Source organism: Homo sapiens, chromosome 2 (assembly GCF_000001405.40).
Source record: "Homo sapiens chromosome 2, GRCh38.p14 Primary Assembly".
NCBI classification, from domain to species: Eukaryota; Metazoa; Chordata; class Mammalia; order Primates; family Hominidae; genus Homo; species Homo sapiens.
In genome coordinates, this window is record NC_000002.12 from 223692422 (window position 1) to 223706585 (window position 14164).

General features: G+C 41.5%; 1 pseudogene, besides 3 other annotated features; it reads left to right on the forward strand.

Moving 5' to 3' along the window:
- Nucleotides 4834–6033: an enhancer, noted in NCBI's record as "BRD4-independent group 4 enhancer chr2:224561972-224563171 (GRCh37/hg19 assembly coordinates)". NCBI's record gives its function as "activates an origin of replication core promoter dependent on BRD2, P300/CBP, MED14 and CDK7 cofactors, and independent of BRD4, by STARR-seq in HCT116 cells {active_cell/tissue: HCT116}" and the evidence as "EXISTENCE:reporter gene assay evidence [ECO:0000049][PMID:35650434]".
- Nucleotides 6683–7882: an enhancer, noted in NCBI's record as "CDK7 strongly-dependent group 2 enhancer chr2:224563821-224565020 (GRCh37/hg19 assembly coordinates)". NCBI's record gives its function as "activates an origin of replication core promoter dependent on BRD2, BRD4, P300/CBP, MED14 and CDK7 cofactors, with strong dependence on CDK7, by STARR-seq in HCT116 cells {active_cell/tissue: HCT116}" and the evidence as "EXISTENCE:reporter gene assay evidence [ECO:0000049][PMID:35650434]".
- Nucleotides 7211–7505: an enhancer, noted in NCBI's record as "tiled region #6301; HepG2 Activating non-DNase unmatched - State 9:DNaseU, and K562 Activating non-DNase unmatched - State 24:Quies". NCBI's record gives its function as "activates a minimal TATA promoter and a strong SV40 promoter by Sharpr-MPRA in HepG2 and K562 cells {active_cell/tissue: HepG2 | K562}" and the evidence as "EXISTENCE:reporter gene assay evidence [ECO:0000049][PMID:27701403]".
- Nucleotides 12177–13115, forward strand: MLXP1 (MLX pseudogene 1; annotated as a pseudogene).

The following is a 14164-nucleotide window of genomic DNA, read 5'->3' on the forward strand; positions in this document are numbered from 1 at the left end:
GACACTAGATTTACTGTTGAGAATCTGACATTCTCCTCTTTAATCTGCTAAACCTGCCCCTGAAGGCGAGAGGCTCTTCGCATCCCTCCAAGCCAGTGTTATGCAGCATAATCCAGTCTACACTAGGTGGCATCGCAGCCAACTGGGAAGTTTCTCTCTAGAGAGACGGGAACCGCAGAGGATTCCAGAGACTCTCACTTTTAACGATATTTCAGTATTCCTGAGCAAAGTAAGCACTTAATCAGAACATATACATAAATATTAACAAATGTATGCTCTATGAACAAATTACAGCACATGGCATAATACCTTGAAAGCCATATTTAAATGCCTGCTAAAACTAGCATTTTTCAAATGATGTGATTTTTTAAATTATTATTATTATTATTATTTTTGAGACAGTCTCATTCTGTCACCCAGGCTGGAGTGTAGTGGCGCGATCTTGGCTCACTGCAACCTCCGCCCCCTGGATTCAAGCAATTCTCGTGCCTCACTGTCCCGAGTAGCTTGGGATTACAGGTGCACACCATCACACCTGGCTCGTTTTTTTGTATTTTTAGTAGAGACAGGGTTTCACCATGTTGGCCAGGCTAGTTTCGAACTCCTAACCTGAAATGATCTACCGACCTTGGCCTCCCAAAGTGCTGGGATTACAGGTGTGAGCCACCGCACCCGGCTTCAAAATTATTATTGAAATGAGGATAATTAGCATGTCTATCAACACAATCTGTATACGTATCGAAACTTCACACTGTACCCCAGTCACAATTCCTATGTGTCAACTAAAAACAAAATAAAACATATTTTACAATGAAAAATCTGTACAGGAAAGAAACTGGACAACACCTTAACCAAGTCATCAAAATGCAAGAAAACGTTGACCTAAGAGCAGGCAGAATAGTTCTTCGCAAGGAAAGGTATCCTTTGTGTTTCCCCTAAGGGGCAGACAGACATGGTACATCTCCTATTGTAATACTCGAAAATAATATAACAGCTCTCACATAGCATTCCTGCCCAAAATGCATAACGTGAAGCAAATTAGAAGGAAACAGCACATGCATCTAAAGTAATTGACATTCTATAAAATAAATTGGCCCTTATTCTTTCTTAAAAAAATGTAAATGTCTTGATAGATAAAGAAAGGCTTAGGCACTGTTCCATATTAAAGGGAAGTAACTACAAACACAAGATGACTAAATCTAATACACGGTCCTGGACTGAAGCTGTACTAGGAAAAGCACATTCGTACCAAGGGTATTGAGACAGCAAAACTGGAAGCTGAACTGTAGTTCAGATAAATACACACTGAAGACATAGGGGAAAAGGGGGTCTGATATATGCCATCTACTCTCAAATGGTTCAGAAAAAAATATGTACATGGAAAATATACATAGAAGGGGATGAGAGACAGGATAAAGTTGATGTAAAATATTTAGTATTGACGATCTAGGTAAAGGGTACATGGGTTATTTGTACTATTCTTGCAACTTTTCTGTAAGTTTGAAATTACTTTGGAATGAAAAGAAAAAATATTTTAATAAATAAAAAAATTGGGTTTGGGGTTTTTTTTGTTTTGTTTTGTTTTTGTGTGTTTTTGTTTTTTTTTTTTTTTTTTTTTTTTTTTGAGACAGAATTTTGCTTTTTCGCCCAGGCTGGAGTGAAGTGGCACAATCTCATCTCACTGCAACCTCCACCCCCCAGGTTCAAGCTATTCTCCTGCCTCAGCCTCCCAAGTAGCGGGGATTACATGTGCCCATCACCACGCCTGGTTAATTTTTTGTAACTTTAGTAGAGACAGGGTTTCACCATGTTGGCCAGGCTGGTCTCAAACTCCTGACCTCAGGTGATCCACCCTCCTCGGCCTCCCAAAGTGCTAGGATTACAGGCATGAGCCACTGCGCCCAGCAAAAGATTAGTATTTAAACATATGAAAGACTGAGCCACTTTGAGATGCCTCACCTTTCACCATTTGTTTCTTGCACATCAGTTGCTACGTACCTTATCCAAGCTTGCGAGTGTGTTTGACTCTCTCCTCTCTATCCACTCTTCTCAAAGATGTCCAAGAGCCAGCATGGAGAATTTGGTGCCTTCTTCCTGCTACCCCAGCTGTCCCTGGCTGCTCTGTTTGTGCAAGAAGCTTGTTAGTCAATAGAATCTGTCTGTCAATGATTCTCATCCCGGACTGCATATTAAAATCACCTTGGGAGGCCTTAAATGATGCTGACCTCTCAACCTCGGATTTTCTCATTTAATTAGTTGGGAAAAGGGCCCATTGATATTTTTAAAACCTCCTGGTGATTCTAATATTCAGCAAGTTTGAGAACCACTGAACTAATGTGTTCCCAGTTTTATGAATGAGTGGGCCGCAGTCCTGCTGCATCAGAATCATCTAAGAGGATTACTAAAAGGGTAAAATGCCTGGCCATGGTGGCTCACACCTGCAATCCCAACACTTTGGGAGGCAGAGGCAGAAATGGGAGGATCACTTGAGCCCAGGAGTTCGCGACCAGCCCAGGCAACACAGTGAGAACCCCATCTCTACAAAAAATTAGCCAGGTATGGTGGCACATGCCCATAGTTTCAGCTACTTGGGAGACTGAGATGGGAGGATTACCTGAGCCCACGAGTTTGAGGCTGCAGTGAGCTGTGATCACTCCACTGCACTGCAGCCTGGGCAACAGAGCAAGACCCTGTCTCTAATGAACAATCAATCAATGTAAACCTCCAGGTGTTACTCCAAACCTACTAAATCAAACTCTGTGGGATGGAGGCCCAGACATCTTTCTATACATTCCAAGTGATACTGAAAACTTAAAAATCAGTATTCTGTTTGGTTTTTTGTTTTTGTTTTTGTTTTTTGTTTTTTTGGAGGGGGAGGCTGTCACTCTGTCACCCAGACTGGAGTGCAGTGGCATGATCACAGCTCACTGCAACCTCTACCTTCCAGGTTCAAGCAATTCTTGTGCCTCAGCCTCCCAAGTAGCTGGGATTACAGGTGTGTGCCACAAGTCAGGCTAATTTTTGTATTTTTAGTAGAGACAGGTTTTTGCCATGTTGGCCGGGCTGGTCTCGAACTCCTGGCCTCAAGTGATCCTCCCACCTCAGCTTCCCAAAGTGCTGAGATTATAGGCATGAGCTACCATGCCTGGCCCAAAAATCACTGTTCTGAAACAGTAGTTTCCATGTTTTTTTTGATGGAGCTCACTTTCTGTCACTCCAGAGCAAGGCCATGAAGCTGTGACATCCCAGCCTAGCCCTTGATAGCACGCACTGTTGGTTAGCTTACCCAACAGGCAATTCTAGCCCTTCTCCCCTTCCTTCCTTCTTTCCTTCCTTCCTTCCGCTATAGCTGCTGGAAAAGCTCAACACTCCCTCTTGCAGGCTCCCTCACAGCTGGTAAGGGCAACAGGACCCAATTTAGCCAGTCTTCAAAGGGGTAGTCTGCCAATGGGATTGAGAATATCTTGTTTCTTCATAAAAGGACTTTGCAAGTTCCATGTTCCTGGCTACCGTTTTCCTCTTCTTCCTGCCTTGAAACCGGCTGTGATGCCTTCTTCTGACCGTGTAAGGGCAAGGATAGCCACAAAAGGCCAACACGCTAAGGCTGATGGAGTAAAAGAGTGGAAAAACCTGGATCTTTGATATTGTTAAGAAGCCCACACATGCTTTCAGCATTTCTAACTGATAAAGCATCCCACCTTCCTCATTATCCACTCCAGAGAGAAATCACATTTAAAGAAGCATGACTGAAGTCTCCATTTTTCTTCCTTTTCAAATATTTAATATTGTCCAAGGATTAGTCTACAAAGCCTAATGCATGAACTGTTGTACCCAAGTCTCTACCTCCACCTCCACTTCACTCTGTCTAATCGTGGAAGCCTTTCATTCCACACCCCACATTCTGCAGCCCCCAGACCCCCATCCCAGAAAGAACTGTCTCACCCAGGTCCTCCTGCTCCACCATCTAGGTTCCTCGAGTCCTTCTTTCCTCTCCCCAGTGCTCTCCCTTCCCTCCAGAGAGAATGCACTCTCCCCCTTCTCTTCTAAGAAGAGAACGAAGCAGGAAGAAGCTAAGCAGAGAACAGGGGAGTGGGAAAGCTGTGGACCCTTAACATGAAGGATTTTTAACTGTTCACAGAGAAAACCCAGTGTTTCAGAACACATAGACTCAGATGTCCTAGGACTGAAGGCTAAGGGGAGAGAGCAGTAGGCCGCTGCCCACACTCATCCACAAAAGTTTAGCACATCCGTTCTAAAGTCAGGCTACCCTTCCTAATAACCACTGGAGCTTTCCAAATTACAGATTAAACTCTGATTCAATAGATCTAGAATCCAGAAATTCTGATTCAATAGATCTAGGTGAGGCTCAGACATCTGTTTTTAAAAGCTTCCCAGATGACTGATGAGCAGCCAAGGTCAATAACCCCAGGTAGTAGACGACAGCTGGAGAAACAACTCTCCATTGTCAACAGCAACTCTCAATTAAACAAGGAAATCTTGTCCTTTCCTCTCCTCTCCACTTAAAGTCATTCAAACTATGACTAAGGTAGTACTCAGCCCTCTGTTCAGTGAGATTTCATTTTACCTAATCAGAAAGAACTTTCAACTTGACAGAAAATGTGGATTCCATCCTTGGTTCCCCTAGAATCTTTCTCACATAAATACTTTAGCACCAAGCAAGCATGGCCTAGTCTTCTGGTGTTTTTATATCAAATCATATTACTTTATTCACAAATTACTTCTGATAAATGACCCTGGCTAGCAGTCAAACTGAATTTTTATAGTGAACAAATACTTCTTGAAGAGACTGAAACTCTTCAGACTCATTCAAACATTTTCAGAACTTGACAAACATAGACACTATAATTATGCATAGTAGTTCTGATTGTATCTTTGGACCACATTTTACTTAGCATTGTAAGCTGATCTGTTTCCAAGAGAGAAAGAAAGAAATATCTTAGTCTGTTTCTTATTATGAAATTTAATTATTAATGAAACTCCTTTACCTTTTAGAACTATTCTTAGGATCTCCAGATGCAAGATGAAATTATTGGTGAATGCCATCATGAGGTAATGGCAACATGTCAAATAGAAAGAATGTGTTATTTTTAAAGGCTCTGAAAGAATTTGGTGAATTTTAATTATAAAGTCACAGACCTAATATTTTATCACTTTCCATCCCATGTATGTCATCCCTAGATAATATTTTCCAACTTTTCTTTTTCTCAGGCTCCTGCTCTCTAGAACAAGGGTGATTATCCACATGGCTGCTAACCTTATGAGCACGTTGAGACACTGGATACGTTAGAGAGTGTAGCACACTGGAAAAAAACTACTAAATGAAAAGTATAATTTCCATAGCTAAAAGATGTTTATCATTAGTACCAGTTATTAGCTCATCTATTTAAAGGAAATGACTCTCCATAGAAACTGATCTTCCTTCATTGAATATGTTGGCCTTAATGAGATTGAGGCCTTGTAATTACCAGGAGAAGGAAAGATCATTTGAATTGGTACTATTCCATAAGGCTGTCCTTTTCATTTATTTCTCATGAATCATGTGAACTACTGGGAGGTCTCATACCCATGCTTTTCATTAAGGAACAGGTAACGCATTTAACTTTGATTTTATGACTCAGTCTCGAGAACGCTATGATCTGACCTCTGGGGTTTAGAAATAAACCACTTTCTCATCAATACTGGAATCATTCAGGAGGAGCTGGGAGACTGGTTTTATCCAGCACACACACAAAAGTGCATTTTACAAAAGCAGAGAAAATAGTCACAGGAGGACGATGGGAGTTGTCCGACAAAGAACAAAGCAGAGCACCCACTTGGGTCTGGGGCCTGGAGGGTCATTCTTTTTGACATAGCAGCTTCCAGGGGTGATTCACCACCTGCATTTGGGAGCAGAGATTTCCACTTGTCTGATACGAGCAGTAGATCATCTATGACTTTGTGCAACCATGTTGTCATTTAAAGCACAACTAGATTCTAACTTTAGGGGGAGCTATTCTTGGGGCCAGGCTGGGCTGAGGGCAAGCGATCTGTGTCCTTGGTAGGTAGAACAACATAAGTATATCCCCTCACCCCCATGACTACCTTCTCTCCACCTCACAGTCTTGCTTTTTCTAACATGTTCTCAGCATAGCCTTACCTATTCACATGTTACTCTTCAGAAATGTGTTGTTGAAAAAGAATCCACATTTGAACAATGTGCTAAGGAGAACAACTACATATCCTCCCTCATCTTCCCCTGGCTATGCTTCTGATTGTCATTCAAGGATTTTACAGGTTCACAAAATAATGTCATCCCTGTCCTAAAGAAGGAGAAACTCTGGGATGTATTCTCCAAAATGACTTTGTATAGACTCTTGGAACAAGCCAAGGCTGAAGCTATTTTGGCCCAGAGCTTATCCTTTCCCAGAGGTTATTTCTTACCTCCAAATGGATTCGTTCTGATGAAGGGGCAGTTTTTGCTCATGACAAACAAGCACAAGCACAGAGGAGAAAATTATTATTTTGATTTGGAAACTGAATTTGGGAAGCAGGTGAAGTAATTGTCAGGTAAGTAAAGGAAAGTAACCATTGAAAGGCAGTATATTTTTGACCCCATTTTAAAACTTGATCTCAGGCATAGGCAAAACTGGTTCCAACCAAGATTTGTTTACTTGGGTTATACTGGAGGCAGAAAAGTTAATGTGAAGGCTAGAAAGAGTTTGAAGGAGAAAGAGTTTATAAGAAAGGAAAGTGAGAAAAAAGAGAAGTTGTACCACCCAAACTATCTAGTCAACATTTAATGGTATTTTATGGGCTGCCCATCAAAGTTACTTAATATATATTTAAAAGAAAATGGGGGCTGGGCGTTGTGGCTCACGCCTGTAATCCCAACACTTTGGGAGGCCAAGGCGGGCAGATCACGAGCTCAAGAGATCGAGACAATCCTGGCCAACATGGTGAAACCCCATCTCTACTAAAAATACAAAAATTAGCTGGGCATGGTGGCACATGGCTGTAATACCAGCTACTCGGGAGTCTGAGGCAGAAGAATCACTTGAACCCAGGAGGCGGAGGTTGCAGCAAGCCGAGATCGGGCCACTGCACTCCAGCCTGGAGACAGAGTGAGACTCCATCTCAAAAAAAAAAAGAAAAGAATAAAGAAAATGGGAATGTCATTATATACCTCCCTACCTAGTCACAAAGAACATAAGGTACTTTGGAGTTTATTGAGACCTTTTGCGTAGAACTGAATGAACAAAGACGTGTTATGACTCAGTGACTCACTAAAGGAAATGAGTCATAAGATGGTGTATTTAGTTGTTTGAGCTTCAGCATCACACTCAGCCAATCTGACATTGTTTATTGAAAATGGAGAAGTGAAGTTAGTGAATGCTATGTCTATTATTGAGATCTTTATTTTCCAACATAAAATACATTTCTCAACTCCATGACTTTGAATTCAAACTTATAGTGAAATTCATTCTCAAAAGCATTTTCTTGGTTTTAGATTTTATTCTTCTTCTTCTTCTTTTGAGTAAACATCTGCATTGACAATGGAACTTGCTAAAATTACAGGAAACTCATAAATACAATGAAATAATCTACAATCTCTTGCCATGGGTCACGTAAATCCATATGTATTAAAAAGAAATCAAATTAACAATTTGAAAAACCAGTCATGGCCACTCCACAGCAGCCAACATCATAAAATCTACAACTCCAGGGTCTAGAACATGTTTAGTAATTTTATCTAATAAACTGGAAAATGTAAAATGTTTCATCTCAGGGGAAAAAATGATATTAAATTTCTGTTACATTTGGTTCTCTTATATCCATTCAGACCCCTGGATTCATATTCATGATGGATAAACACCTCTTTCTAAGGCCAAGTGAGCCCATGAGATGATAACATGCTCTCTAATCCTACTATTATTTTCTCTTTGTTTTTTTATGGTTCTTTTAATCTGTTTATCTACATGACAAGCAAGTAGTAGAAATATGTCGAATTTCTGAGTTCTTATAGTATTCTTTTACGACTAGGTATGACCTAGCTAATCTTGTTAGCTAGTCGGAACAGTTGGTGAGACAACTGTTTGGCAGCCTCTATTCATTTGTTCATTTGCTTCTTTTACCACCAAAACATAGGATGAAATTTTCTACTGGTTTTAACTTAATTTTCATCCCAAGTTAGTGCAACTGGTGTATGTATGAAGCCGTAGCTGCATAACCCGGGTAGGACTGAAGCCAGGAACATCAGTGCCCAATCTTAGCTGCCCTGCAGAGCCCAGCTGAGGGGAACGTGCCAGGGTGATTTGATCGTTTAGTCTGCTGAATTATCTGTCAGAATTTTTCAGAATGGAGCTACAAGTGAGGGGTACTGTTTATAAAGAGGAAACAGCCTCCATAAGCAAGTATTAATTCCATGATGAGGAAGCAACCCCAAAAGGTAGAAATATTGGCTGGGCGCCGTGGCTTATGCCTGTAATCCCAGCACTTTGGGGGGCCAAGGTGGGTGGATCACCTGAGATCAGGAGTTCAAGACCAGCCTGGCCAACATGGCAAAACCTCATCTCTACTAAAAATACAGAAATTAGCCGGATGTGATGGCGGGCGCCTGTAGTACCAGCTACTCGGGAGGCTGAGGCAGGAGAATTGCTTGAACCCAAGAGGCAGAGGTTGCAGTGAGCTGAGATCATGCCACTGCACTCCAGCCTGGGTGACATAGCAAGACTCTGTCTCAAAAAAAAATAAAATAAAATAAAATAAAACAAAAGAGGTAGAAATATTTAATTAAGGTGCCTATTTCTAGTAGTAAGTACTTATAGAACATTTACCATGTGCCAGATACATTGTCATTTAAGGTACCTTACATATATGGACTCAATCTTCAACCACATAAGAGTGCCATTGTTTTATTTATTTATTTATCTATTTATTTTTATTTATTTTGAGACAGGGTCTCACTCTGTCGCCCAGGCTGGAGTGCAGTGGCACCAAGCAATTCTCCTGCCTCAGCCTCCCAAGTAACTAGGGTTACAGGTCCGTGCCACCATGCCAGGCTAATTTTTGTATTATTAGTGGAGACAGGGTTTCACCATGTTGGCCAGGCTGGTCTCAAACTCCTGACCTCAGGTGATCCTCCCCCCTCCACCTCCCAAAGAGCTGGGATTATAGGCGTGAGCCACTGCACACGGCCTGAGGATACCATTATTATTATCTCCATATTAAGAATGAAGAGATTAAAAGTCAGAGGTTAAGTAAATTGCCAATGTCACACAGCTGGAAAGTGGCGCTGCCAGTATTTCAAGTCTAGTTCAGAGTCTGTGCTCTTAACCAGTATGTTGTACTGCCATTTATAGACAATAAAGGAAAGTTCTACTTATTGATGAAGTGTATTTCTAGAAATGGGGTCAGAAAACCTTACAGTTAAAAGCACCACTTTTTTCTATAATCTCCATGTAGTCAGCAGTTACTCTAGGTGGTGATCTTAATTGGAAAGGAACAATACAGATTTAAATTTAAACCAGAAGAAACTGACGAGTCAGCTGCTCAAGCAGACAAATGGAATGAGACTATATGGGCAGCATCAGATATATCAACCAGAGAAATTCAGGGTAGCAAGAATTAGAGACTGCCTGTCACAGAAACAAGTATATACTGGGCTCCCTACTCTGGATTGCTATGGCAACAAGCTATATACACCAGATGATTTAGCAATTGGTATAAATTGTCTCAGGTTGTTCAAAACATTTCATCTTCTCTTCCCAATAACATAGTAACTTATCCAAAGTTTGAACTTGTATTGTCCTTGGGTATCTCCCAACATATTCCATCCATTGTTAAAATCAAAATGGTATTTAACACATTTGTTCTTTATGAATTTCATTTTCCATAATATTCTTTTATTATATAACAATTAATATACATAATCACAAAAGCGAGATGCATTTTTTTTTTTTTTTGATACAGAGTCTCGGTCTATCACCCAGGCTGGAGTACAGGGGTGTGACCTTGGCTCACTGCAACCTCCGCCTCCTAGGTTCAAGCTATTCTCCTGCCTCAGCTTCCTGAGTAACTGGGATTACAAGCACCTGCCACCACACCCGGCTAATAACAATATGCATTCTTGATAGCAATTTAAGAATTAAAGTATGCACACACAAAAATTACTTATTTTATCACTATACTTATGCTTTGGTTTGTCTTCTGTCTCCCTCTCAGTGTCTCTCAAGATTGTCATGAGATTTGAATGAGATAGCATGCAAAGTACACAGTACCGTGACTCGCATCAAGTGTTCAAGAAATGGAAGTTATTATTAAGGTAGTGATTACTATTTTTATTTTATGTATTTCTGAAGGGAAGATTTCTAAAAGTAAAATTGTTCCTTAGGCAGGGTGCGGTGGCTCACGCCTGTAATCTCAGCACTTTGGGAGGCCAAGGCAGGCAGATCATGAGGTCAAGAGATTGAGACCATCCTGGCTAACACAGTGAAACCCCGTCTCTACTAAAAAGCACAAAACAATTAGCCGGGCGTGGTGGCAGGCGCCTGTAGTCCCAGCTACTCGGGAGGCTGAGGCAGGAGAATGGCGTGAACCCAGGAGGCCAAGCTTGCAGTAAGCCAAGATCACACCACTGCACTCCAGCCTGGGCAACAGAGCAAGACTCCATCTCAAAGAAAAAAAAAATTGTTCTTTAGAGAGCATGCACATTTTAAATTTTACCAGTAACTGACAAAGTTCCCTCAATTTACCATTTGGGAAATTTACCAATTTCCCATACCAACTCACATTCCCACACAGTATAAGACCTTTCCCCACATCTAAATACTAAATACTATCAACGCTTATGTTTTCACTAGTTTGGGTGAAACATGATAATTCAGTTTAATTTGTATTTCTATTTGTGAGTGAATTAAGCATCTTTTTATGATCATTATTATTAGACATTTGGTGCAGTGGGATTCTGTTCAAATCCTTTCTTCATTTTTTGTATTGGGTTATTTTTCTTCTCTCACTGATTTTTAATAGCACCTTCTATTTCGTGGGTGTTCATTCTCTGTCTCCATCTGCAAATATTTTCTCCAGTTTTCTCAAAGTCTTTTAACTATGTTCATGGTATATTTTATGATTCTAAAATTTAAAAATTGTATGTATTCAAATACATCAATATTTCCCTTTATGGTTTCTGTGTTTGAGGCTTTTCCTGGGAAGGTCTTCCCCATTTCAATATTTATAAAAATATTTCCCTACTGTTTTATTATTTTAGCATACTAATACAATTGTTTAATATATCTGGAGTGGATGTGTATGTGCCTGTGAGATAAAGCTCTGCGTTTTTAATTTTGTGGCTCTCCATTCGTACCTATTAACACTGGTCAAATTTTAGAGTTCTTCCTTTTATTACAATACAAAATGTTATATGTAATCCAAGAAATAATACTAGGAGCCAAAATCTGTATAAGATTCTACAAACAGGCTGGGTGCAGTGGCTCATGCCTGTAATCCCAACACTTTGGGAGATCAAGGCAGGCAGATCACTTGAGGTCAGGAGTTCAAGACCAGCCTGGCCAACATGGCGAAATCCTGTCTCTACTAAAAATACAAAAATTATCTAGGCGTGGTGAGAGGCACCTGTAGTCCCAGCTACTGGGGAGGCCGAGGCATGAAAATCACTTGAACTTGGGAGGCAGAGGTTGCAGTGAACTGAGATCGCACCACTGCACTTCAGGGGGATAGAGCAAGACTGTCTCTAAAAAAAAAAAAACTAACTAAATAAATAAATAAAATAAAAAAGATTCCACAAACATACCATCTTACCCAGCACTTCTTTGTACAAACTATGATTCAATGTTTTTAGTCTCAATCTCACTGATGGAGAAATTGAGGATCAGAGAGTTTAAGCAACTTGATCAAGGTCATAAATTTAATGAGAGACATATTTGAACCTGGTACGTAGATATTTTGACCCATGTCACTCATACTTTCTACCATCAACTATTGTCTTATGTATAATTAGAAAGTATAATTAGAAAAAGAGAGAAGAATTAGTTTCAATATGCAAGATCAAACATTGAATATATTTATGTTTATTTACAATATTTGATCAACCATCATCACCTGGAGGTGTTAGCAAAATGTATAGTTCTTTTCGGCAGGTAGAAAATAAAATAGGGCTTGTTTCTGGTCCAGTAGGTCCAAGACGATGGAGCCAGGTGCCTCTCCCAAAGACCCCTGGGTAAAGGTGGAGTACATCTACAGCTACAAAAGCTCAGACCTCACGTATTTTATAGAAAGCACCCACAATGGGACAGTAGTGTCTAGAGCTAATAGCATCGGTTCCACCAGTGCCTCTTCCATCCCCAACACAGATGAGGAGGACAGTGATTACCACCAAGAGTCCTACAAGGACCAGTAGTGGTGAGCACACACTGAGGCTGAGCAGAAGAGGAAGGATGTCATCAAGAGAGGCTGTGATGACCTTCAGACCATCATCCCCACATGCCAGCAGCAGGACTCCTGCATTGGCTCCCGAAAGCTCAGCAAAGCCATCGTTCTACAAAAGACCATTGACTACACTCAGTTTTTGCACAAGGAGAAGAAAATGCAGGAGGAGGAGGTGTCCACACTATGCAAGGACCTCACAGCCCTAAAGATCATGAAAGGGAACTATAAGCAGATTGTGAAGGCACACCAGGACAACCCCCATGAGGGGAGGACCAGGCCTCTGACCAAGTCAAGGTCAGTGTGTTTCGAGGTATCACGAACTCCCTGTTCCAGTCCTTCAATGTCTTCATCTCTGTGACCAACTTCTAGGAGCTGTCAGCCTGTGTCTTCAGATAGATTGAGGAGCACTGCAAGCCACAGGCCATGGGAGATCGTGATTGGCATCCAGCACCAATTGAAAAACCAGCTTTACTGACCAGTTCTTGTAAACCTGCAGAACAGCAAACAAGAGGCCCTTGAGTCTCTATTTGGCCACTGAGCAGCTGGACCCATGAGACTGAACTGCAACAGCTCACCTTGGTCAGTTTCGCTTGGTGTTTGTGTTTTTTCAGCCCCATTGTATCTTCAGAAGGGCTGGGGTGTTTGTTTTGTGAAAGCTTTTGATTAATTTACTATATTGACCATAAAATTCAAACTTACCCAGTCCTTCCCCTCCCCATGGAAGTCCTTGGGATGGGAGTCTGCCCTTGACACCTCAAAGAGCTCACGGCTTCTCAGCCCTTTCTCCAAGCCTCAGATTTCTGCTCATGATCTACATATATTTGGAGACTGTTTGCCTCTGTTTTGGTCTCTTGGGCAACATTTGGCCTAAGTTTGGCCATTTTGGCAGTAGCTGGAGAAAAAGAGTAAGAAGAAATATTGCCACAGCCATGAAGAGTGAAAGACTGACTACCTTGTGCTTAAACTAGGGCTGCCCGTTCAGTCCAAGGTGAGGCCAAGGGTTTTCTGGCCATCTCAGGGCAAGGCTACCAGGTTCTTCTCCTAGCCTCATATTCCATCACCTCCTTCCTCCTCTGCTCTGTTGGTGTTGGGAAAGCAGCCTCCCTCTCAATTCCTGCCTTCTCAGTTCCCACAGGCTGCGGTGCTGCGTGGCAGAGGCAGGCGTGCCACAGCACCACATACTTGAAATTTTTTATTTTTCTCAACACCAATACAATTTTGCTAAAGTTACTACTTTGGAATATTAACTGGGCCTCAAAGCCACCCCTAGCCTTTCTGTCAAGCATATCTGGTCCTGTCCCATGTCTCAATGTGGCCCGTTTCTCCCAGGACTTAGGGGTGGGGTTAAAGGGTGCAGAAGATACTCAAAAGGTCTCCAGGGATACACAGGCTCAGGAGAGTCCTGGGGGAAGCCTTGGGCTCCCCAGATGCTGGTGGATAGTAACCTCTCTCCATCCTAGTCCTCCAAGCTCACTTCTGCCTTCCGCAGGTTTCATATCTGGGAGATTTGGCCATCCAGAGGAAATTAAATATTTTATATCCAACACAATTATAATAATATTGTCAAATGCTTTCCTTTAAAAAAAGAAAAGACAGCTGGGCGTGGTAGCTCACTCCTGTAATCCCAGCACTTTGGGAGGCTGAGGTGGGCAGATCACCTGAGGTCAGGAGTTAGAGACCAACCTGGCCAACATGGTGAAACTTCCTCTCTACTAAAAAT